Below are 23,629 nucleotides of genomic sequence, written 5' to 3' on the forward strand. Positions count from 1 at the left end.
CTCATGTATTGCAAATAATAGGACTTGGAGTCAGACAAAGTTGGATTCTAAACCATGCTCCGCTAATGTGAAATGTTTGCAAGTCATTCAAACTTTCCGAACGTTAAATTCTGCTTCTCTAAAGAAATGAGAATATGAATATGTACCTCAATGGTTATTTCTAATATTAAAGATGATGTTGTTTTAGACTGTTTTCAAAGTGCCCCAACAATTCCTTCCATTCTTGTCTGCGTGACACTTTTCAACATGACTTTGTACCTCCTTCCATTAAAAAGTGGAGTGTATTTCTCTACTTTTTAATCTGAAATTAGCCATTTGATAAACTTTGGCCAGTTGAACGCTAGCAAGCAATGTAAACGGAGGTTTTGAAAGTGCTTGCACATTGAGTCTGGTCCTCTTTTGGACCCTAGCCACCAAGTAAAAGAAGTGTAGGGTAGTCTTCTGGGTGATGAGAAATACATGACACATTCACCCCCATTGCTATAGTTGATAACAAGCCAATTCCCAGAAGCTACGTGCAGATGTATAAATGAATTCAGCCAAGATAAACAGGAGAACTATCCAGGTGAGCAGAGCCTAAATTCCCAAACTGCAAAATCTTGAAGTAAATAAATGCTTTTTGTTTAATCTGCCAAGTTTTGAAGCGGATTGTTATACAGTAAAAGTTAAGTGATACAAATGAATGCAGAGTCTCTTATCATCCATGGGATCTAGTAGAACTTTAAAAATAATATTTTTTCATCGTCCCTAACATGACTTGACCTGAAGTTTCAAAATTTTTGTTACTCAGCAACATGAACTTTTCTAAAGCTTTGGCATATCTGTTGTGCTTCTTTCTCTCTTTGCCTATGAACATCTACCTCTCCAAAATCCATGCTGAGATAGGAAATACTTAAGCATTGATTTCAAACAATTGAAATAAATAGTTTTAAGCATCGATTGCAAACTGCAACACCTCAACAAGGCTTTCTGTTTAGAAATGGGCATTCTGGTGTGTTGCAAAACATTTGGTGTTGTAATATGGCTTTAAATGACATCATGCTTGAAATAGTTTTATGCACACTGTACCCACTCTGCACTTGGGTCCCTGCTGTATATACAATATCTTGATTGATAACAAGAGATATGTGACTCTCACTCAATCAGTGCTAATGCAAATATTTCACTTCATTGAGTTACCAATACTTAAAAATAAATGATACCAAATTAACCATGAAAAATATATATATATATGTATCTTTTTAACGAATCATCCAGTGTTTCCTACTTTGAAGCTTTCATGAAGGTTTGAGAAGCTATTTTCACCAACTTCGAATAAAAGCCTATTAAAAAGAAGACTCTTTAATCATGAAAGCTTTGTTGGATACATTTTGTTTGTGGTGGATGTTTGCCTTTATATATGTTTTGTCCGTGGAGTTAATAACTAATGTTTTCCACTTCTTAAGATATGATAAAGTCAATGAATCACCATGAGTGGAATTTATTGTCTGGAACTGACAGAGGCAGGAGACAGTGAAATGCCCAGGCAAAAAGAGAATGGTCCCTGGAGAACCTCTGGCTTGCCCAGGTTATTGTGCACAGGGGGTTTGCCTACACATGCCCATGGTGAAAAATTCCATCCTTTAACACATGCACAGCAAGGGAAATAAATCAATGTGGAGTGGCTCAGACTAAGGGCCCGCATGCTCACTGGAAGAACGGGGTGGAACCAACAAGAATTTGCACCTTATGCAGAGGAGAGGCCTGGCCTCTGCAACTCATGTGTGGTGGCCTACTATTCAGTTTTTGAGGTGGAAACCTGTTGTGAAGGACCCCTCTTTTTGTTGAGAGCTTTTCTTTCACTTAATAAATTCCATCCTCCTTAACTTTTAATACGTTTGCATGCCTAATTTTTCCTGGTTGTGAGACAGGAACCCGGATTTAGCTAAAGGAGCAAAAAATCATGCATCATTTTCGTGGCCCATATGGGGACATGAGGAAGGGTGAGCAAAATGTGGACCCAAAAAATCTTTTTCACTTTCATTTCTGGGTGTTCTCGTCCTCAGACTTTTTCTCAGTGCAAGAGAAACTGCCCCTCTGCCATTGCACTTAGGGGTCAGGAATGTCAGCCTCAGTCCAACCCAGTCTTTTCTATGGCATTTTCTTTCTTTTCTTCAGGACTGTAATGGCACCTATCATTTCTTTTACAATACTGGGGGTGTTCTACCTCCACCCCAATGGCCAGGGGCACACACTCAGGACGCACGGGTGAGTGGCGGCTCCCTGTCCCTCTTCCCTCCTGGCTGGGGCACACAGCCATGTCTGCCGCATGTGTGTGCAATGTCCAATGGCCATGCCAGGTTGGAATGAGCCACAGCTGCTGCCTGGGCCCCAAGGCTGCCTCAGGGGCCCAGGACCAGCATGGCCAGCTGGCTAGTGTTTCCTGCCACACATCCATGGAGCCTTCCCCTCCCCCAGCCTTGGAGTCCAGCTGGGTCCCACAACAATTAAAAGTTTCTCTCCCTGTTAGAGAAGTCCATTTGCATAAGAATAAGAGGTTATTCCTCCAGGCATCTTCACAGCCCCACACTTAAGCTACATTTTTTTCTTTTCTCCACCCTGTCAGGAGTTAACTTTTATGTAAGAGGTTTTGTTCTTGAAAGCCATCTTATTAGAACAGGATCCCAATTCACAGGGCACCCTTTTTCCTTCCCTTGTTTGAGAAGGACCCAATTGCACAGTTCCACCTTAGCATTCAGCTTATGATAAGGAGGCAGCAGCTGGTCTGGTGAGGGACACCTGGGGCTTGATAAGTCTATGCATTCCCCTGAGGCAGTTCTTTGGTCACAAACTCAATTCCAAGCTTCAGGTCAAACAGCTAGGAAAGAAAATTGGATCTAAGGGATCCAGAGGCAGACAACAATGGAAGTTAATAGGTGCAGTGCAGGTGGGCATGATTAATTCCTGCGGATTAAGCCAAGCCTCCCATTTCATGGATAGAGGTTGTGTTAGTATCCATGGAATAAATGAGGTGCAGGGAACTAAAAGGCTACTGACAGCAGTCGGAAAGGGTAAGAGCAGATAATGCCATCCCCTATGCTTCCTATTAGCATGGGTGAAAGCCACATTGGCACCCATGGGCAGCACCCTGTTGAGGTTTTCAGGACTGAGGGATATAATGATAGTAAAAGGAAAAAGGATCCGTTTTCTTTCTCTCCCTTATGTACCCCCAGGTATTCACTAGGAAGAGAAAGGAACCAGGAACACCTGACTCCCCACTTTCTAGCTGAATGGCCATTCATTTTTCAGTCTGTCCCCCTTTTGAATGCATTCTGAATCCCTGGAGTTCCTTTGAAAACAAAAAACAAAAAACCAAAAAACCTTCTTTTCTCCTTTTTCCTCCTCTGTCCTCTCTACACAGATAGGTAATTGTGTCCCCATACTACAGGATACTCCCCTCAGATGCATCCTCCAAACTGAGAAAAGTTAATTTCCCACACCTTAAACTGGTTGGTTAAGAATTGAGCTTGGGGGAAGGGAACCCAGAAGCCTGACATGCCAGCAAAAGGGTAAAAGTTTTTTTTTTACCAGTCAGACTTTTGGCCTCTCTCTCCCTCTGCAAACTGGTAAAAGTGTCAGGCCTCTGAGCCCAAGCCAAGGCATCGCATCCCCTGTGACTTGCACGTATATGCCCAGATGGCCTGAAGTAACTGAAGAATCACAAAAGAAGTGAATATGCCTTGCCCCACCTTAACTGATGACATTCCACCACAGAAGAAGTGTAAACGGCCGGTCCTTGCCTTAACTGATGACATTACCTTGTGAAAGCCCTTTTCCTGGCTCATCCTGGCTCAAAAAGCACCCCCACTGAGCACCTTGCGACCCCCACTCCTGCCCGCCAGAGAACAACCCCCCTTTGACTGTAATTTTCCTTTACCTACCCAAATCCTATAAAACGGCCCCACCCCTATCTTCCTTCACTGACTCTCTTTTCGGACTCAGCCCGCCTGCACCCAGGTGAAATAAACAGCCATGTTGCTCACACAAAGCCTGTTTGGTGGTCTCTTCACATGGACGCACATGAAATTTGGTGCCGTGACTTGGATCTGGGGACCTCCCTTGGGAGATCAATCCCCCGTCCTCCTGCTCTTTGCTCCGTGAGAAAGATCCAACTATGACCTCAGGTCCTCAGACCGACCAGCCCAAGAAACATCTCACCAATTTCAAATCCGGTAAGCGACCTCTTTTTACTCTCTTCTCCAACCTCCCTCACTATCCCTCTACCTCTTTCTCCTTTCAATCTTGGCGCCACACTTCAATCTCTCCCTTCTCTTAATTTCAATTCCTTTCATTTTCCGGTAGAGACAAAGGAGACACGTTTTATCCGTGGACCCAAAACTCTGGCGCCGGTCACGAACTGGGAAGGCAGCCTTCCCTTGGTGTTTAATCATTGCAGGGACACCTCTCTGATTTGAAACGTGGGTGAATAAGGTGTCAGACCATGCAGGGATGCCTGCCTTGGTCCTTCACCCTTAGCCGCAAGTCCCGCTTTTCTGGGGAAGGGGCAAGTACCTCAACCCTTTCTCTCATTGTCTCCTACCCCTTCTCTGCTTTTCTGGGAGAGGGGCAAGTACCCCTCAACCCCTTCTCCTTCACCCTTAGCGGCAAGTCCCGCTTTTCTACTGGGCAAGAACCCCCAATCCCTTATTTCCACGCCCCGACCTCTTATCTCTGCACCCCAATCCCTTATTTCCACACCCCGACCTCTTATCTCTGTGCCCCAATCCCTTATTTCCACACCCCGACCTCTTATCTCTGTGCCCCAACCCCTTTTCCCACTTTTCTGGAAGGTAAGAACCCCCAAACCCCTTCCCTCCGTTTCTCTACTCTCTCTTTTCTCTGGGCTTGCTTCCTTCACTATGGGCAACCTTCCACCCTCCATTCCTCCTTCTACTCCCTTGGCCTGTGTTCTCAAGAACTTAAAACCTCTTCAACTCACAACTGACCTAAAACCTAAATGCCTTATTTTCTTCTGCAATGCTGCTTGACCCCAATACAAACTCGACAGTAGTTCCAAATAGCCAGAAAATGGCACTTTGAATTTTTCCATCCTGCAAAATCTAAATTCTTGTCATAAAATAGGCAAACCGTCTGAGGTGCCTGACTTCCAGGCATTCTTTTACACAGCAGTCCCTTCCTAGTCTCTGTGCCCAGTGCAACTCATCCCAAATCTTCCTTCTTTCCCTCCCGCCTGTCCCCTCAGTACCAACCCCAAGCGTCGCTGAGTCTTTCTAATCTTCCTTTTCTACAGACCAATCTGACCTCTCCCTTCCTCCCCAGGCTGCTCCTCGCCAGGCCGAGCTAGGTCCCAATTCTTCCTCAGCCTCTGCTCCTCCACCCTATAATCTTTTTATCACCTCCCCTCCTCACACCTGGTCCGGCTTACAGTTTCATTCCATGACTAGCCCTCCCCCACCTGCCCAGCAATTTACTCTTAAAAAGGTGGCTGGAGCCAAAGGCATAGTCAAGGTTAATGCTCCTTTTTCTTTATCCCAAATCAGATAGCGTTTAGGCTCTTTTTCATCAAATATAAAAACCCAGCCCAGTTCACGGCTCGTTTGGCAGCAACCCTGAGACACTTTACAGCCCTAGACCCTAAAAGGTCGAAAGGCCGTCTTATTCTCAATATACATTTTATTACCCAATCCGCTCCCGACATTAAATAAAACTCCAAAAATTAAATTCCGGCCCTCAAACCCCACAACAGGATTTAATTAACCTCACCTTCAAAGTGTACAATAATAGAAAAAAGTTGCAATTCCTTGCCTCCACTGTGAGACAAACCCCAGCCACATCTCCAGCACACAAGAACTTCCAAACGCCTGAACCGCAGCGGCCAGGCATTCCTCCAGAACCTCCTCCCCGAGGAGCTTGCTATAAGTGCCAGAAATGTGGCCACCAGGCCAAGGAATGCCTGCAGCCCAGGATTCCTCCTAAGCCACATCCCATGTGTGCGGGACCCCACTGGAAATCGGACTGTCCAACTCACCTGGCAGCCACTCCCAGAGCCCCTGGAACTCTGGCCCAAGGCTCTCTGACTGCTTCCCAGATCTTCTTGGCTTAGCGGCTGAAGACTGACGCTGCCCAATCGCCTCAGAAGCCCCCTAGACCATCACGGACGCCGAGCTTCAGGTAACTCTCACAATGGAGGGTAAGTCCGTCCCCTTCTTAATTAATACGGAGTCTACCCACTCCACATTACCTTCTTTTCAAGGGCCTGTTTCCCTTGCCTCCATAACTGTTGTGGGTATTGACGGCCAGGCTTCTAAACCTCTTAAAACTCCCCAACTCTGGTGCCAACTTAGACAACACTCTTTTATGCACTCTTTTTTAGTTATCTCCACCTGCCCAGTTCCCTTATTAGGCCGACATATTTTAACCAAATTATCTGCTTCCCTGACTGTTCCTGGATTATAGCCGCATCTCATTGATGCCCTTCTTCCCAATCCAAAGCCTCCTTTGCGTCCTCCTCTTGTATTCCCCCATCTTAACCCACAAGTATAAGATACCTCTACTCCCTCCTTGGCGACCGATCATGCACCCCTTACCATCTCATTAAAACCTAATCACCCTTAGCCCACTCAACGCCAATATCCCATCTGGCAGCATGCTTTAAAAAGATTAAAGCCTGTTATCACTCGCCTGCTAGAGCATGGCCTTTTAAAGCCTATCAACTCTCCTTACAATTCCCCCATTTTACCTGTCCTAAAACCAGACAAGCCTTACAAGTTAGTTCAGGATCTGCGCCTTATCAACCAAATTGTTCTGCCTATCCACCCCGTGCTGCCAAACCCATATACTCTCCTATCCTCAATACCTGCCTCTACAACCCATTATTCTGTTCTAGATCTCAAACATGCTTTCTTTACTATTCCTTTGCACGCTTAATCCCAGCCTCTCTTCACTTTCACTTGGACTGACCCTGACACCCATCAAGCTCAGCAAATTACCTAGGCTGTACTGCCGCAAAGCTTCACAGACAGCCCCCATTACTTCAATGAAGCCCAAATTTCTTCCTCATCTGTTACCTATCTCGGCATAATTCTCATAAAAACACACGTGCTCTCCCTGCCAGTCATGTCCGACTGATCTCTCAAACCCAAGCACCTTCTAGAAAACAACAACTCCTTTCCTTCCTAGGCATGGTTAGCACGGTCAGAATTCTTACACAAGAGCCAGGACCACACCCTGTAGACTTTCTGTCCGAACAACTTGACCTTACTGTTTTAGCCTAGCCCTCATGTCTGTGTGCAGCAGCTGCCGCTGCTTTAATACTTTTAGAGGCCCTCAAAATCACAAACTATGCTCAACTCACTCTCCACAGTTCTCATAACTTCCAAAATCTATTTTCTTCCTCATACCTGACGCATATACTTTCTGCTTCCCGGCTCCTTCAGCTATACTCACTCTTTGTTGAGTCTCCCACAGTTACCATTGTTCCTGGCCCAGACTTGAATCCGGCCTCCCACATTATTCCTGATACCAGACCTGACCCCCATGACTGTATCTCTCTGATCCACCTGACATTCACCCCATTTCCCCATTTTTCCTTCCTTCCTGTTGCTCACCCTGATCACACTTGATTTATTGATGGCAGTTCCAACAGGCCTAATCGCCACACACCAGCAAAGGCAGGCTATGCTATAGTACAAGCCACTAGCCTGCCTCTTAGAACCTCTCATTTCCTTTCCATCGTGGAAGTCTATCCTCAAGGAAATAACTTCTCAGTGTTCCATCTGCTATTCTACTACTCCTTAGGGATTATTCAGGCCCCCTCCCTTCCCTACACGTCAAGCTCGAGGATTTGCCCCACCCAGGACTGGCAAATTAGCTTTGCTCAACATGCCCTGAGTCAGATAACTAAAATACCTCTTAGTCTAGGTAGATACTTTCACTGGATAGGTAGAGGCCTTTCCTACAGGGTCTGAGAAGGCCACCGCAGTCATTTCTTCCGTTCTGTCAGACATAATTCCTCAGTTTAGCCTTCCCACCTCAATACAGTCTGATAACGGACGAGCCTTTATTAGTCAAATCAGCCAAGCAGTTTTTCAGGCTCTTAGTATTCAGTGCAACCTTTATATCCCTTACGGTCCTCCGTCTTCAAGAAAAGTAGAATGGACTAAAGGTCTTTTAAAAACACACCTCACCAAGCTCAGCCACCAACTTAAAAAGGACTGGACAATACTTTTACCACTTTCCCTTCTCAGAATTCAGGCCTGTCCTTGGAATGCTACAGGGTACAGCCCATTTAAGTTCCTGTATAGACGCTCCTTTTTATTAGGCCCCAGTCTCATTCCAGACACCAGACCAACGTAGACTGTGCCCCAAAAAACTTGTCATCACTACTATCTTCTGTCTAGTCATACTCCTATTCACCGTTCTCGACTACTCATACACGCCCTGCTCTTGTTTACACTGCCGGTTTACACTGTTTCTCCAAGCCATCACAGCTGATATCTCCTGGTGCTATCCCCAAACTGCCACTCTTAACTCTTGAAGTAAATAAATAATCTTTGCTGGCAGGACTATGCTGAATCTCCTTAGGCACTCTCTAATCAGATATTCTGAGTCGTCCCAATTCTTAGACCTTTTATACCTGTCTTTCTCCTTCTGTTATTCCATTTAGTTTCTCAATTCATCCAAAACCGTATCTAGGCCATCACCAATCATTCTATATGACAAATGTTTCTTCTAACATCCCCACAATATCACCCCTTACCACAAGACCTCCCTTCAGCTTAATCTCTCCCACTCTAGGTTCCCACGCCGCCCCTAATCCCGCTTGAAGCAGGCCTGAGAAACATCGCCCATTCTCTCTCCATACCAAGCCCCAAAAGTTTTCACCGCCCCAACACTTCAACACTATTTTGTTTTATTTTTCTTATTAATATAAGAAGGCAGGAATGTCAGGCCTCTGAGCCCAAGCCAAGCCATCGCATCCCCTGTGACTTGCACGTATACGCCCAGATGGCCTGAAGTAACTGAAGAATCACAGAAGAAGTGAGTATGCCTTGCCCCACCTTAACTGATGATGTTCCACCACAAAAGAAGTGTAAATGGCCGGTCCTTGCCTTAAGTGATGACATTACCTTGTGAAAGTCCTTTTCCTGGCTCATCCTGGCTCAAAAATCACCCCCACTGAGCACCTTGCGACCCCCACTCCTGCCCGCCAGAGAACAACCCCCCTTTGACTGTAATTTTCCTTTACCTACCCAAATCCTATAAAATGGCCCCACCCCTATCTCCCTTCACTGGCTCTCTTTTCGGACTCAGCCCGCCTGCCCCCAGGTGAAATAAACAGCCATGCTGCTCACACAAAGCCTGTTTGGTGGTCTCTTCACACGGACGCCCATGAAGAAAAGGAATGACAAGGACCACTGTTTATATTCTCTGTAAAGTTTTGGTTAATGAAAAAGGATTTATGAAGTTGTTCTTAAGCTGTAACCAATCTGGTGTGCTTTGTGTGTCTTTCAGTATGGTTCTGTTAGAAAAAAAGGGGTACCTTAGGATATCATGTGGGCCAAGGACCCCATAAGCCCACTGTTTAAGTCAGCCCTGCAATCTGGTCAGTAACAAACTTTGCTGCAGGCCTCCATCTTATTTTATGTCTTTAGGAGCATGACCTGTAACCATATGACAGTATTTTGTTTTAGTCTCCGCCATTTTACAATGGTGGCCCAGGTTCAATCCTGGCTTGGGGAATGAGTGCTTTCAGGTTGATATCTGCGTGACTTATGCCATTTGCTAATTCTCTTCCCCTCTCATGAACAAGTTCTAGCTTCCTTTCTTAAATCATCCTTTCCCTGAGCCATAAAGGTTCTAGATTTTGTAAAAAAACTGCTTACTATGTCTTGAAAATATCTTGTATGCTCACAGTTAAGACATAACTTTAATTGAGACTTGTTGGTTTCACCTGTGAGGTTACTTTTGATAAAATTCAAAATCCAGAAATATTGGCTGTTTGGCATGGCTAAAGTCAGGTAATAAGAGATTTAAAAGGACTTTCTTAAAGAATGCTCAGCTTAATTAAAAATGGATATCCAAGTTATAGGCATATTTAAAAGGCCTTTATGTTTTTTCTTCTTGGATCTTATTTTGCTGGAAATAGGTTTTAATTAGTTGACTGAATTACTTTTCTCCATCTTGTCTTGCCATTCTTAATGCACGCTTGAGAGTCCCTAAGGTAATTTCTGATTGCCTGGGACTCCTTGGGAAAAACAAAAAAGGTGCCACAGATTCCATTTTGGGAGCAACCTCTGTTTTCCTTATGGAACCCCAGGAATTAGATGCAGATAGATCCCTCTCAAAATCTAGTTTTGTCTTCTACCTATACCTGTTTATTAGTCCCTAGAAACTGCTTGTTTTCCTAGCCCTGCTTTTAAAAGGCCCCACTTGAGACTAGTAATCCAATTGAGAGATTGGCAAATGAAAAATCTTATAACTACTGGATTTTCTGTTTGTCTGTGTAGTTATATATGTTGTATGTGATGTATATAAAAAATAGCTATATTTAATTGGCTTAAAGAAAAATAAGCTCTTAGATCAAAGTTTTTGAAGGAAAAGTAAAAGCTGTACTGCTTTTTAGTTCACATGACTAATCTTTGAGAAATAAAAACAGTCTTAAAGATTATAGGAAAATACAAATGTCATTAAAATGTAAATAGGTGATCTAAATTGTGCAAGTCAGATACTAGGTTTGCTAAATGTTTTAAGGTTGCAAACTGCTTTTTTGGCCTTTGAGAGCTGTTTGACTGGCCACCATGCCCTTAACTATGCTGGAAGGAATCAAACTTCATCAGCACTTAATGCATAATTAAAACAACTTACCAGGTTTTACACTAAAATTAAAATTTGCCGTTTAATGGTAAAGAATTATCATTATAACATGTAATTGAGACCACTTAAAATGGATTTACATGCAAGGTGTGTAAGAATGGTAAAATGTGTTTTTAGTGAAAGATTATAAGAAAGCATGAAAATGGAAATATTTGCCTAGAGCTAAAGGATTGTTTTAAATTAGATAAAATAAAGCTAAAGGTTTAAACAAGTTATGGGATGTTTTAAAAAATTAACCTTGCAAAATAAATTCAAATGGATATTATATGGTTTTTCTGTAAATTGAGCATTGAAGTAAAAACACAACAAGGTTTCCTTAAGGCACTAATCTGCTCTTTAGCAAAATGTGTAAAGCGTTATAAAAGTTTTATAAGAATCTCACCTCATGGTTAAACTGGTTAAGTTCGGATAGAATTGTCTATAAGGTTTCATTAGAAAAGCTGGGATTGACATAAACGGTAAACTAATGTAAGTGTTATATTTGGCTTTCTCTCCCTTGTACAAGATTTTCATATAACAGTAAAGGATAATGAATGATTTTCATTTGCCTTGTGGATAGACTGTCAAGGAGAAGAAAGAGAAGACAGGAGACAAACTGTTTGGAATGCGAAGTCTTCCCTCTTAAAGAGTTAAGTTTTTTGCTATTTAAACATTTTTTGAGTCATCATTTTGGCAAAATAATAACTTAGGGTAATCTGAAATTCTGTTTCATAATATCAAGTGCTTCAAAACTCTAACATTAAACAGGCTTCCCAAAATCAAATTTTAGCTTCAAGGTTGTCTTTCTTGACCTCTAGCTGTTGGATGCTAGAGAGGGCCCCTGGGGCATCCAAAAGAGGTAAACAGGATTAATTGACATGTTTAGGTACGTGGACTTGCCAAAATGATGCTTAATCTTCTTCAGGTTATATTTAAGTGAATAATATTAATATATGTTACAAAATCGTATGGGATTCCTAAAATTTTTAATGTCTGAGCATATGCTATCAATCATAATTAAGGTTATTATGTTAAGTTATTGTAAACCACAGAGATAACCAAATTTCTTTGTCAATTGTGTTTTTAACTGTAACTACCTTGGATGTTTTCTTATTAACAGAGAATTGTTGTCTTGTTTTGATTCTCTTCAAAAGAGTTTATAATCAGCTGTAGAACTGAGAGACAAGTGCTCTCAAATGCAGGGTTCTGATAACTTTGGAGATTGTGACGTTGGAATAAAGGAAAAAAGTACAGGACTCATGAAGAGCTTAAATGTTTATGGATATCAAGCAGAACAATTGTTAATGAAATGGACTGAACTAATAGAAAACTGAAGGAATTTTTAACAAACTTTTGCTTAAAACATTGCTGATCCTTGTTTTACAGAGTCAAGGAAACTTATTTTATGCTATTTGCAGTCTTTAATAATTGAGTAAGGCAGAGTCCTGTGAAGAAAATTTGGAGCATGTTTGTTTCTCTCTGCCTGTTTCCTCTAGAATTTGGAAACTATCTGTGAGTATTCTTAACTTATGGCAACATGATTCTTTGCACCAGTACAACAAGAAGCTATTTTCTTTTGCAACAGGACACAATTGGAGGAACTGGTTCTTTTACCAAAGTTTTTACTAGAAGGATATGCTTCCCTTTAAGGAATCAAGCTTGGCTTACAGAATTGATAAAATCTCCTTGGGAAAACTGTACTGATAGCATGTTTACACAGTCTCCATATAGGATTCCTAACCTGTGGTGAATAAAGAATGTCATTTTCTAACAGACCCAGGAACCCCATATTATTAGGACCTCAAGAAGAGAGAAATTCACCCAGCTCATAGGTATTTGAGAGTACAAACCCATGCCTGGGCTCAACTTTAATAACTCCTATCTGAGATGCCTTGAGGAACAGAGTTCCATCATATCCAATTTTAAAAACCTATGTAAAAATAATTGTTCTTGCTGCACTTTATGGAAATAATCAGGCTAACTATAAGACTAAAGTTTATTTTGCAAACAACTCAGCCCTATCATGATTTTTAAATTAATTAATTAATTTATTTTTCCATAGGTTATTGTGGTACAGGTGGTATTTGGTTACATGAGTAAGTTCTTTGGTGGTGATTTGGGAGATTTTGGTGCACCCATCACCCGAGCAGTATACACTGTACCATATTTGTAGTCTTCTATCCCCCGCCCCCCCGTCCATTCTTCCCCCCAAGTCCTCAGAGAGTCCATTGCATCATTTTTATGCATTTGTGTCCTCATAGCTTAGCTCCCACATATTGGTGAGAATATACGATGTTTGGTTTTCCATTCCTGAGTTACTAAGAATAATAGTCTCCAGTCTCATCCAGGTTATTGCAAATGCTCTTAATTCATCCCTTTTTATGGCTGTGTAGTATTCTATCATATATATATATATATATGTGCATGTGTATATATATATATATATATATATATATATATATATATATATATACCATAGTTTCTTTATCTACTCATTGATAGATGGGCATTTGGGTTGGGTCCACGATTTTGCAATTGTGAAATTTGCTGCTATAAACATGCATGTGCAAGTATCTTTTTTGAATAATGAATTATTTTCCTCTGGGTAGATACCCAGTACTTGGATTGCTGGATCCAATGGTAGTTTTACTTTTAGTTCTTTAAGGAATCTCCACAGTGTTTTCCATAGCAGCTGTACTAGTTTACATTCCCACCAGCAGTGTAGAAGTGTTCCCTGTTCACCCCATCCATGCCAGCATCTACTGTTCTTCGATTTTTTGATTATGGTCAGTCTTGCAGGAGTAACGTGATACCACACTGTGGTTTTGATTTACATTTCCCTGATCATTAGTGATGCTGAGCATTTTTTTCACATGTTCGTTGGCCATTAGCATATCTTTTTTTGAGTATTGTTTATTCATGTCCTTAGCCTACTTTATGATGGTATTTTTTGTTTTTTTCTTACTGATTTGCTTGAGTTTGTTGTAGATTTTGAATATTAGTGCTTTGTCAGATGTATAGATTGTGAAGATTTCCTCCCACTCTGTAGGTTGTGTTTACTCTGCTGACTGTTCCTTTTCCCGTGCAAAAGTTCTTTAGTTTAATTAGGCTTCAGCTATTTATCTTTGTTTTTATTGCATGTGCTTTTGGCTTCTTGGTCATGAAATCCTTGCCTAAGCCAATGTCTAGAAGAGTTTTTCCAGTGTTATCTATTAGAATATTTCTGGTTTCAGGTCTTAGGTTTAAGTCCTTAATCCATCTTGAGTTAATTTTTGTATAATATGAGAGATGAAGATCCAGTTTCATTCTCCTACATGTTGCCAGCCAATTATCCCAGCACCATTTGTTGAAAAGGGTGTCCCTTCTCTGTTTTTGTTTGTTTTGTCAAAGATCAGTTGGTTGTAAGTACTTGGGTTTATTTCTTGGTTCTCTATTCTGTTCCATTGGTCTGTGTGACAATTTTTGTAACAGTACCATGCTGTTTTGGTGACTATGGCCTTATAGTATAGTTTAAAATCAGGTAGTGTGATGCCTCCATATTTGTTCTTTTTGCTTAGTCTTGCTTTGGCTATGCAGGCTCTTTTTTGGTTCCATATTAATTTTAGGATATTTTTATAAGTCTGTGAAGAATGATGGTGGCGTTTTGATGGGAATTGCATTGAATTTGTAGATTGCATTTGGCAACATGGTCATTTTCGCAATATTGATTCTACCCATGTGGGATGTGTTTCCATTTGTTCATGTCATCTATGATTTCTTTCAGCAGGGTTTCGTAGTTTTCCTTGTAGAGGTCTTTCGACTCCTTGGTTACACATATTCTTAAATATTTTATTTTATTGCAGCTACTGTAAAAAGGGTCGAGTTCTTGATTTGATTTTCCATTTGGTTGCTCTTGGTGTGTAGAAGAACTATTGATTTGTGTATATTAATCTTGTATCTGCAATCTTTGCTGAATTGTTTTATCACTTTTAGGAGCTTTCTGGAGGAGTTCTTAGGGTTTTCAAGGTAAGCAATAATATCATCAGCAAACAGTGACAGTTTGACTTCCTCTTTACTGATTTGGATGCCATTTCTTTCTTTCTCTGATTGCTATCTGATTGCTCATTTCTATCTGATTGCTCTGACTAGGACTTCCAGTACTATTTTAAAGAGGAGTGGTAAGAGTGGGCAAACTTGTCTTGTTCCAGTTCTCAGAGGGAATGCTTTCAACCTTTACCCATTCAGTATTATGTTGGCTATGGATAGATGGCTTTTATTACATTGAGATATGCCCCTTGTATGCCAATTTTGCTGAGAGTTTTAATCATGAATGGATGCTGGGTTTTGTCGAATGCTTTTTCTGCATCTATTGAGATGATCATGTGATTTTTGTTTTTAACTCTGTTTATGTGGTGTATCACATTTACTGTCTTGCCTATGTTAAACCACCCCTGCATCCCTGGTACAAAACCCACTTGATCGGCCGGGCGCGGTGGCTCACGCCTGTAATCCCAGCACTTTGGGAGGCTGAGGCGGGCAGATCACGAGGTCAGGAGATCGAGACCATCCTGGCTAACAAGGTGAAACCCCGTCTCTTCTAAAAATACAGAAAATTAGCCGGGCTTGGTAGCGGGCGCCTGTAGTCCCAGCTACTCGGGAGGCTGAGGCAGGAGAATGGCATGAACCTGGGAGGCGGAGCTTGCAGTGAGCCGAGATCATGCCACCGCACTCCAGCCTGGGTGACAGAGCAAGACTCCGTCTCAAAAACAAAACAAAACAAAACAAAACAAAACAAAACAAAACACCCACTTGATCATGGTGGATTATCTTTTTGATATATTGTTGGATTCGGTTAGCAAGTTTTTTGTTAAGGATTTTAGCATCTATGTTCATCAAGGATGTCAGTCTGTAGTTTTCTTTTTTGGTGATGTCCTTTCCTGATTTCGGTATTAGGGTGATTCTGGCTTCATAGAATGAATTAGGGAGGGTTCCTTCTTTCTCTATCTTGTGGAATGGTGTCAAAAGGATTGGAACCAATTCTTCTTTGAATGTCTGGTAGAATTCTGCTGTAAATGCATCTGTTCCTGGACTTTTTTTGTTGTTAATTTTTTAATTACCATTTTAATCTCACTGCTTGTTATTGGTCTGTTCGGGATATCTAATTCTTCCTGATTTAAGCTAGGAGGGTTGTAGTTTTCCAGGAACTTATCCATCTCTTCTAGGTTTTCTAGTTTATATACATAAAGGTGTTCATAGTAGCTGTGAATGATCTTTTGTATTTCAGTGGTGTCAGATGTAATATCCCCTGTTTTGTTTCTTGATTTATCTTGCCAATGTTCTATCAATTTTATTTATCTTTTCAAAGAACAAGCTTTTTGTTTCATTTATCTTTTGTATTTATTTTTGTTTCAATTTCATTTAGTTTGGCTCTGATCTTGGTTATTTCCTTTCTTTTGCTGGGTTTGGGTTTGACTTGCTCTTGTTTCTCCAGTTCCTTGAGGTGTGACCTTAGGGTGTCAAATTGTGCTCTTTCAGTCTTTTTGATGTAGGCTTTTATAGGGCCAAGGACTTTCCTCTTAGCACCGCCTTTGTTGTATCCCAGAGATTTTGATAAGTTGTGTCATTATTGTCATTCAGTTCAAAGAATTTTTTAATTTTTATCTTGATTTACGTGTATTTGTATGGTTTTGAAGGTACCTTTTGGAGTTGACTTCCAGTTTTATTCCACTGTGGTCTGAGAGAGTGCTTGATATAATTTCAATTTTCTTGAATTTATTGAGGCTCGTTTTATAGCCTATCGTATGGTCTTTCTTGGAAAAATTTCCATGAGCTGTTGAACAGAATGTGTATTCTTTGGTCTGTATATATCTGATAAGTCCATTTGTTCCAAGGTATGGTTTAAATCCATTGTTTCTTTGCTGACTTTCTGTCTTGATGACCTGTCTAGTGCTGTCAGTGGAGTATTGAAGTCCCCCACTATTATTGTGTTGCTATCTATCTATCTCATTTCTTAGGTCCATTAGTAACTGTGTATAAATTTGGGAGCTCCAGTGTTAGGTGCATATATGTTTAGAATTGTGATATTTTCCTGTTGAACAAGGCCTTTTACCATTATATAATGTCCCTTTTTGTCTCTTTTAACTGCTATTGCTTTAAAGTTTGTTTTCTCTGATATAAGAATAGCTACCCCTGCTTGCTTTTGGTTTCCATTTGCATGAAATACAATTTCCCCCCATTTACTTTAAGTTTATTTGAGTCCTTATCTACAAGATGAGTTTCCTGAAGGCAGCAGATAGTTGGTTGGTGAGTTCTTATCCACTCTGCTCTTCTGTATCTTTTAAGTGGAGCATTTAGGCCATTTACTTTCAGTGTTAGTATTGAAATGTGAGGTACCATTGCATTCATCATGCTCTTTGTTGCCTGTATACTTTGGTTTTTTTGTTTTTAGGTTTTGCTTTTTAACTTGTGTTTTTGTTTTATAGGTCTTGTGTGGTTTATGTTTTAAAGAGGTTCTGTTCTGATGTGCTTCCAGGATTTGTTTCAAGACTCAGAGCTCCTTTTATCTGATCTTGTAGTGGTGGCTTGGTAATGGCAAATTTTCTCAGCATTTGTCTGAAAAAGACTGTATCCTTCCTTTATATATGATGCTTAGTTTCACTGGATACGAAATTATTAGCTGATAATTGTTTTGTTTCAGGAGGCTGAAGATAGGGCCCCAATCCCTTCTAGCTTGCAGGGTTTCTGCTAAGAAATCTGCTGTTAATCTGATAGGTTTTCCTTTATAGGTTACCTGGTGCTTCTGTCTCACAGCTGTTAAGATTCTTTCCTTCATCTTAACTTTGGATAACCTGATGACAACGTGCCTATGCAAAGATCTCTTTGAGATAAATTTCCCGAGTGTTCTCTGTGCTTCCTGTATTTGGATGTCTAGGTCTCTAGCAAGGCCAGGGAAGTTTTCCTGGATTATTCCTGCAATTATGTTTTCCAAGCTTTTAGAATCCTCTTCTTCCTCAGGAATACTGATTATTCTTAGGTTTGGTCATTTAACATAATTCCAGACTTCTTGGAGCTTTTGTTCATATTTTCTTTTTCTTTGTTGGTTTAGGTTAATTCTAAGACCTTGTCTTCGAGCTCTAAATTTCTTTCTTCTACTTGTTCAATTCTATTGCTGAGACTTTCCAGAGCATTTCACATTTCTAAAAGTATATCCAAAGTTTCATGAATTTTTGATTTTTTTTCTTTAAGCTCTCTATTTCCTTAAATATTTCTCCCTTCACTTCTTGTATCCTATTTTGGATTTTCTTGCATTGGGCTTTGCCTTTCTCTGGTGCCTCTCTTATTAGCTTAATAACTAACCTCCTGAATTCTTTTTCAGGTAAATCAGAAATTTCTTGCTTTTGATCCATTGCTGGTGAACTAGTGTATTTTTTGGGGGGGATGATGAGGAGCCTTGTTTTGTCGTATTACTAGGGGTGGTTTTCTGGTTCCTTCTCATTTGGTTGGGCTGTGTCAGAGGGAAGGTCTACAGCTGAAGGCTGTTGTTCAGATTCTTTTATCCCACAGGGTGTTCCCTTGATTTAGTACTCTCCCCCTTTTCCTTACTTTGGCTTACTGTGAACCGAACTGCAGGGATTGTTGTCTCTCTTCTGAGTCTAGCCACCCAGCGAGTCTACCCAGCTCCAGGCTGGTACTAGGGGTTGTCTGCACAGAGTCCTGTGACGTGAACCATCTATGGGTCTCTCAGCCATGGATACCAGTGCCTGTTCCAGTGGAGGTGACGGGGTATGCAATGGACTCTCTGATGGTACTTAGCTTTGGTGGTTTAATGTTCTATTTTTGTGCTGGTTGACCCCCTGCCAGGAGGTGGTGCTTTCCAGAGAACATCAGCTGTGGAATTATGGGGAGGAACTAGCAGTGGGCAGGGCCTTAGAACTACCAATATTGTATGCCCTTTGTCTTTCCTACCAGAGTAGGTAGGGGAGGACCACCAGGTGGGGGTAGGGCTAGGCATGTCTGAGCTCAGACTCTTCTTGGGCAGGTCTTGCTGCCACTGCTGTGCTGTGGGGGATGAGGGTGAGATTCCCAGATCACCGGAATTGTGTACCTAGGAGGATTATGGCTGCCTCTGCTGAGTCATGCAGGTTGTCAGGGAAGTGAGGGAAAGCCAGCAGTCACAGGCCTCACCCAGCTCCCATGCAAACCGAAGGGCTGGTCTCGCTCCCACCATGTCCCCCCAGACCGTTTCCAGGTGGAGAGAGAGATGGGCTTGAAAACCTGCCCCAGGCTGTCTGCCTCCCAGCTGTGAAAGAAAGGGGCTTGCTTCTTCCCCTACCTGTGGAGTCTGCACACCAGATTTGCGCCCTCTCCAGAGTTCTGGTCAGAAAGCTTTTCACCCCTTTCAAATTGTTAAAGTTCAGCTAGAGATTTGCTTCTCTCTGTGTAGCTTTAGCCCCTGCTTTTCTCCTGTTGGTTTCCTGTGGTGCCAGGAAGGAATGGCCTGCTAGGGGACCCAGCTAGCTCCCAGGGGCCTTTCTGCTGTTTCCTCTACACCTGTATTTCACTTGGCTCTCCAAATTGACTCAGCTCAAGGTAAAGTCAGAAACTTCTCCCACAAACAGACCTTTGGCTTCTCCTGTGCGGGTATGTGTTCAGGAGAGGAGGGTCTCCCTTTCCCACTTCTGCAGTTCAGTCATTCACAATTTTGGGGGGGTCTCCTGGGTCCTGCAGGAGCAGTCCGCTTCCTTCAGAGGGTCTGTGGGTCCTTTGGGGATTGCTGATTGACTCTTGCAGTACATCTGGAGTTAAAATTCACAATGTGAGTCGCTGCCCACTGCTCTGTACGGAGCTGCAATCTAGTCCTGACTCCCATCTGCCATGATCTCCCATGATTTGCTTTCAACAAAAATGAGGACTGGAGAGAGAGAAATTATGTTTCAAAAATTATCCTACATTTGTCATTAAATTCTAGAATCATTAGTTGTTTTTTGCCTACAATTTGGACTAATCCTACTCATTCCTGTGAACCAACCAGAAAACTCTGGCTGCAGCTCAGAAGAAACAAAAGAAATGTGTAGTGTAAAAATCTGGATCAATAGTCTAGTTCTGGGCAGTTACCCTGCAAATCCTGCCAGGTGATAGGAATAAATAGGGTGTCTGCAACCCAGAGTTTGGTTTTTTTGTTTTTTGTTTTTTATAAGACCAAGAGAGCTAACCAAAGTGAAACCCCATGTACCTAGATCTTAGCAAGCATAACTATAGCCACCGGTTATCTGGGCATGCTAGCAGCCTCAGAATTTTTAAGCTGTCCTTGCCCCCACTTTTGTTTCATTTTGATATATGTCTTCTAATCATTTTGTTTGTCTCTTCTCACCTTCAGGCCATTGAACTCCAAATGGTCAAGCAACCGGAGCCTCGAACAATGGCCCTCCTTTTACCAGGGATCCTTAGATAGGCCTCTGAGAGAGATCTGACTGCTGTTTTCACAATACAGCACCACCAGTCAGCAGAAAGCATTTAAGATCAGTTGTTATCGTCCTTATCCTTATCCTTGTCCTTGTCCTTGTCCTTATCCTAATGGCAGTTAGATGTACTTCTTTGGAGGGGGTAATGATAGAGGCAGGAGACAGCCAAATGTCTAGGCAATTAGGGAAGGGTACCCAGAGAACCTCCAACCCATCTAGGTCATTGTGTGCAGGGGTCTTGCCTAAACATGCCCACAGTAAAAAATTCTCTCCCTTAACACATGCACAGTACAGGAAATAAATCAGTCTGGAGTGACTCAGACTAAGGGCCCACATGCTCACTAGAAGAATGGGGTGGAGCCACCAAGAATTTGTGCCTTATGCAGGGAAGGAGGCTGGCATCTTCAACTCATGTGTAGTGGCCTAATATTCAATTTGTGAGGTGGAAACCTGCATCTAAGACCTCTCATTTTGTTGACAGCTTTTTTTTTTTTTTTTTTTGATTAACAAATTCTGCCCTCCTTACCTTTTAATGTGTCTACATGCCTAATTTTTCCTGGTTGTGAAACAAGATCCCAGATTTAGCTGAACTAAGGAGCAAAAATCTTGCATCCAAAATACCATAATTAAATAGGAAACAAACTGGAGCACGCTTTAAAGACAGATGCAGATTTGAATATTTTCTTAAACCTTTGAGAATAAAGATACATCTATTTAAGATCTTCTCAGGGACAAACATTAGCTTTTTTCAATATTTAAATGTAAACATCTCTACCCATACATGAAGGAATCCCAACAACTTAATATTTAGCCATTATGGTGATTGGAAGTTCTCTTATATTTTGCTGGTAATTTAACTCTCTCACTACCACAGGGTTCTTTTGTTTGCTTGGCTGTCTACTTTCCTGACTGAAAGGACAAACCCTTATTTCTGACCTTTCTGCTGTTAACCTTTTTGGCTCAGTCAGGATTGCCTTCAATTTCCTTTGAAGGTAAAAGTACACTTTAGCAAGTAGAAGGCATAAGTAAGCAATAGACTTGTTCAATGAATCACTGAATGAATGAAAGAATCCATGACTACTTTATTATCATCTTTTTTTTTTTTTTTTTTTTTTTTGAGATGGAGTCTCACTCTATTTCCTAGGCTGGAGTGCAATGGCATGATATCAGCTCATGGCAGCCTCTGCCTCCCGGGTTCAAGCGATTCTCCTGCCTCAGCCTCCCAAGTAGCTGGGATTACAGGCAGGAGCCACCATGCTCTGATAATTTTGTATTTTTAGTAGAGACGAGGTTTCACCATGTTGGTCAGGCTGGTCTTGAGCTCCTGACTTCAAGTGATCTACCTGCCTCGGCCTCCCTAATTGCTGGGATTACAGGCCTGAGCCAACCCTCCAGCCAATTATCATTTCTTTCACTTTGCTTTACTTCTAAAGACATTTTACACTTGTTTTGAGTTTCTTTTCCTTTTTTTTCTTTTTCGACATTTGTTTTAGATTCTGGGGATACATGTGAAGGATTTTTACAAAGGTATATTGTGAGATTCTGAGGTTTGGGGTATGAATTATCCCATCTCCTGTAGTACCCAAAAGGTAGTTTTAAATTATTTCCCCACTCTACCCTCTTATATTCCCCAGTGTCTATTGTTTCCATCTTTATGTCAACATGTACCCTTTGTTTAGCTCCTACTTATAAGTGAGAACATGCAATATTTTATTTTCTGTTTCTGCATCCTTTCACATAAGATAATGGCTTCTAGATGCATCCATGTTGCTGCAAAGGACATTATTTTATTCTATTTTTATGGCTGCATAGTATTTGATGATGTATATGTACCACATTTTCTTTTTCCCATCCACAATTGATGGGCACCTGGGTTGATTCCATGTCTTTGCTATTGTGAACAGTGCTGTGAAGAACATATGGGTACATGTGTCTTTTTGGTAGAATGATTTATTTTCCTTTGAGTATATACCAAGCAATGGGATGGGATTGTTGGCTCAAATGGTAGTTCTGTTTTAAGTTCTTTGAGAAATCTCCAAACTTTCCACAGTGCCTGAACTAATTTACATTTCTGCCAGCAGTGTTGTAAGCATTCCCTTTTCTCCCCAGCCCCACCAACACCTTATTTTTTCCTTTTTTTTTTTTAAAGCCATTGTGATTGCTGTGAATTTGTATCTCATTGTGGTTTTGATTTACATTTTTGAGTTCCTTTTGTTTTGGACTCACTTTTTCCATTTCTGTGTCTTAGCAGTATAAAATAGAGATTATGATTGCCTGGTGTACCTACATGTTAGAGTCATGAATACTTGAGAACAACTTTTACTTTGAAAGCAGTATTTACAATTTTTTTATCAGTATTTGCCTGTTAAGTGTTTACTGATTACATTGTGTTAAATTGTTTTTAACACTTATCACTCAGAGAGCAAAAGTATTTGATAGTTTGAGACAAACTGCTTAAAGAACTTGTAGCTGCAAATCAATGCTGTACTAGGATATCATTTTAAAAACACATTTAAACTAAGCATATGATTTTCCAACAGACTTATTTCTCAATGATTGTTGAAAACTAAAACTTCCCTGGCCATCGTGAAATTGTAGTAGAATATATATATAGAAAGCTTGGTGCTGTTTAAAAACAGTTACTTCAGTGACTCCTTATTGCTTACAGTATAGAGTTCTAAATTCTTATCCTCAATACATAAATCCATAGTCTCCTGCTTTACCATTAGTCTCCCTCATGAACTCTAAAGTAGAAGCTTCTTTTCACTTACCCTCAATATAGTTTGTACTCTTTTTATAGCTCTATTTCCATGCATTTTTATTCAATTCCTTTGCTTAAGATGGTCTCACTAATCCTTTCTTTTTGTAATTATTATTATCAAAAATTTTGATATTAAATAATTTCATTGAGCACATGGTAACTATACAATGTTATTTAAGTACCTGACATTGATTTTCTCCTTTAATTCTTCTGATAACCCAATGCAGCAGATACTATTATGATCACTATTTCACAGATAAGAAACCTGAGACCAAAAAGATTACATAGCTTGTTCAAAGTCCTGATAATACACACTATATAGTGGCTGAGCTTGATTTCAAACCCAGTTTTATACTGATACAAGAGTTTTGACTCTTGTGTTATTCTACCTGGAATCAGCACCCTCAAAACACTTTTGTTTCATATTATAACTAATTAAAGATAGTAAATGGTTCTCTGGTGCAGGTTTTTTGCTCCTTAGTTCAGTTAAATATGGGTTCTTGTCTCATGGCCAGGAAAAATTAGGCATGTAGCAGATTGAAAAGTGAGGAGGGTGGAATTTACTAAGCAAAAG

The 23,629-nt window shown here is 41.0% G+C and overlaps 10 annotated features.

The window, feature by feature from the left end:
* Positions 1,264-1,880: an enhancer, noted in NCBI's record as "H3K27ac-H3K4me1 hESC enhancer chrX:121353508-121354124 (GRCh37/hg19 assembly coordinates)". NCBI's record gives its function as "activates a minimal SCP1, AML or CMV promoter by ChIP-STARR-seq in primed H9 embryonic stem cells {active_cell/tissue: H9 hESC(primed)}" and the evidence as "EXISTENCE:reporter gene assay evidence [ECO:0000049][PMID:30033119]".
* Positions 1,881-2,496: an enhancer, noted in NCBI's record as "OCT4-NANOG-H3K27ac-H3K4me1 hESC enhancer chrX:121354125-121354740 (GRCh37/hg19 assembly coordinates)". NCBI's record gives its function as "activates a minimal SCP1, AML or CMV promoter by ChIP-STARR-seq in naive and primed H9 embryonic stem cells {active_cell/tissue: H9 hESC(naive and primed)}" and the evidence as "EXISTENCE:reporter gene assay evidence [ECO:0000049][PMID:30033119]".
* Positions 2,497-3,112: an enhancer, noted in NCBI's record as "OCT4-NANOG-H3K27ac-H3K4me1 hESC enhancer chrX:121354741-121355356 (GRCh37/hg19 assembly coordinates)". NCBI's record gives its function as "activates a minimal SCP1, AML or CMV promoter by ChIP-STARR-seq in primed H9 embryonic stem cells {active_cell/tissue: H9 hESC(primed)}" and the evidence as "EXISTENCE:reporter gene assay evidence [ECO:0000049][PMID:30033119]".
* Positions 3,113-3,728: an enhancer, noted in NCBI's record as "OCT4-NANOG-H3K27ac hESC enhancer chrX:121355357-121355972 (GRCh37/hg19 assembly coordinates)". NCBI's record gives its function as "activates a minimal SCP1, AML or CMV promoter by ChIP-STARR-seq in naive H9 embryonic stem cells {active_cell/tissue: H9 hESC(naive)}" and the evidence as "EXISTENCE:reporter gene assay evidence [ECO:0000049][PMID:30033119]".
* Positions 3,729-4,344: an enhancer, noted in NCBI's record as "OCT4-NANOG-H3K27ac-H3K4me1 hESC enhancer chrX:121355973-121356588 (GRCh37/hg19 assembly coordinates)". NCBI's record gives its function as "activates a minimal SCP1, AML or CMV promoter by ChIP-STARR-seq in naive H9 embryonic stem cells {active_cell/tissue: H9 hESC(naive)}" and the evidence as "EXISTENCE:reporter gene assay evidence [ECO:0000049][PMID:30033119]".
* Positions 4,345-4,960: an enhancer, noted in NCBI's record as "NANOG-H3K27ac-H3K4me1 hESC enhancer chrX:121356589-121357204 (GRCh37/hg19 assembly coordinates)". NCBI's record gives its function as "activates a minimal SCP1, AML or CMV promoter by ChIP-STARR-seq in naive H9 embryonic stem cells {active_cell/tissue: H9 hESC(naive)}" and the evidence as "EXISTENCE:reporter gene assay evidence [ECO:0000049][PMID:30033119]".
* Positions 5,577-6,192: an enhancer, noted in NCBI's record as "NANOG-H3K27ac-H3K4me1 hESC enhancer chrX:121357821-121358436 (GRCh37/hg19 assembly coordinates)". NCBI's record gives its function as "activates a minimal SCP1, AML or CMV promoter by ChIP-STARR-seq in primed H9 embryonic stem cells {active_cell/tissue: H9 hESC(primed)}" and the evidence as "EXISTENCE:reporter gene assay evidence [ECO:0000049][PMID:30033119]".
* Positions 8,662-9,383: an enhancer, noted in NCBI's record as "OCT4-NANOG hESC enhancer chrX:121360906-121361627 (GRCh37/hg19 assembly coordinates)". NCBI's record gives its function as "activates a minimal SCP1, AML or CMV promoter by ChIP-STARR-seq in primed H9 embryonic stem cells {active_cell/tissue: H9 hESC(primed)}" and the evidence as "EXISTENCE:reporter gene assay evidence [ECO:0000049][PMID:30033119]".
* Positions 18,366-19,117: an enhancer, noted in NCBI's record as "H3K27ac-H3K4me1 hESC enhancer chrX:121370610-121371361 (GRCh37/hg19 assembly coordinates)". NCBI's record gives its function as "activates a minimal SCP1, AML or CMV promoter by ChIP-STARR-seq in primed H9 embryonic stem cells {active_cell/tissue: H9 hESC(primed)}" and the evidence as "EXISTENCE:reporter gene assay evidence [ECO:0000049][PMID:30033119]".
* Positions 19,404-20,603: an enhancer, noted in NCBI's record as "MED14-independent group 3 enhancer chrX:121371648-121372847 (GRCh37/hg19 assembly coordinates)". NCBI's record gives its function as "activates an origin of replication core promoter dependent on BRD2, BRD4, P300/CBP and CDK7 cofactors, and independent of MED14, by STARR-seq in HCT116 cells {active_cell/tissue: HCT116}" and the evidence as "EXISTENCE:reporter gene assay evidence [ECO:0000049][PMID:35650434]".

The sequence above is a fragment of the Homo sapiens genome, chromosome X, assembly GCF_000001405.40.
Source record: "Homo sapiens chromosome X, GRCh38.p14 Primary Assembly".
NCBI classification, from domain to species: domain Eukaryota; kingdom Metazoa; phylum Chordata; class Mammalia; order Primates; family Hominidae; genus Homo; species Homo sapiens.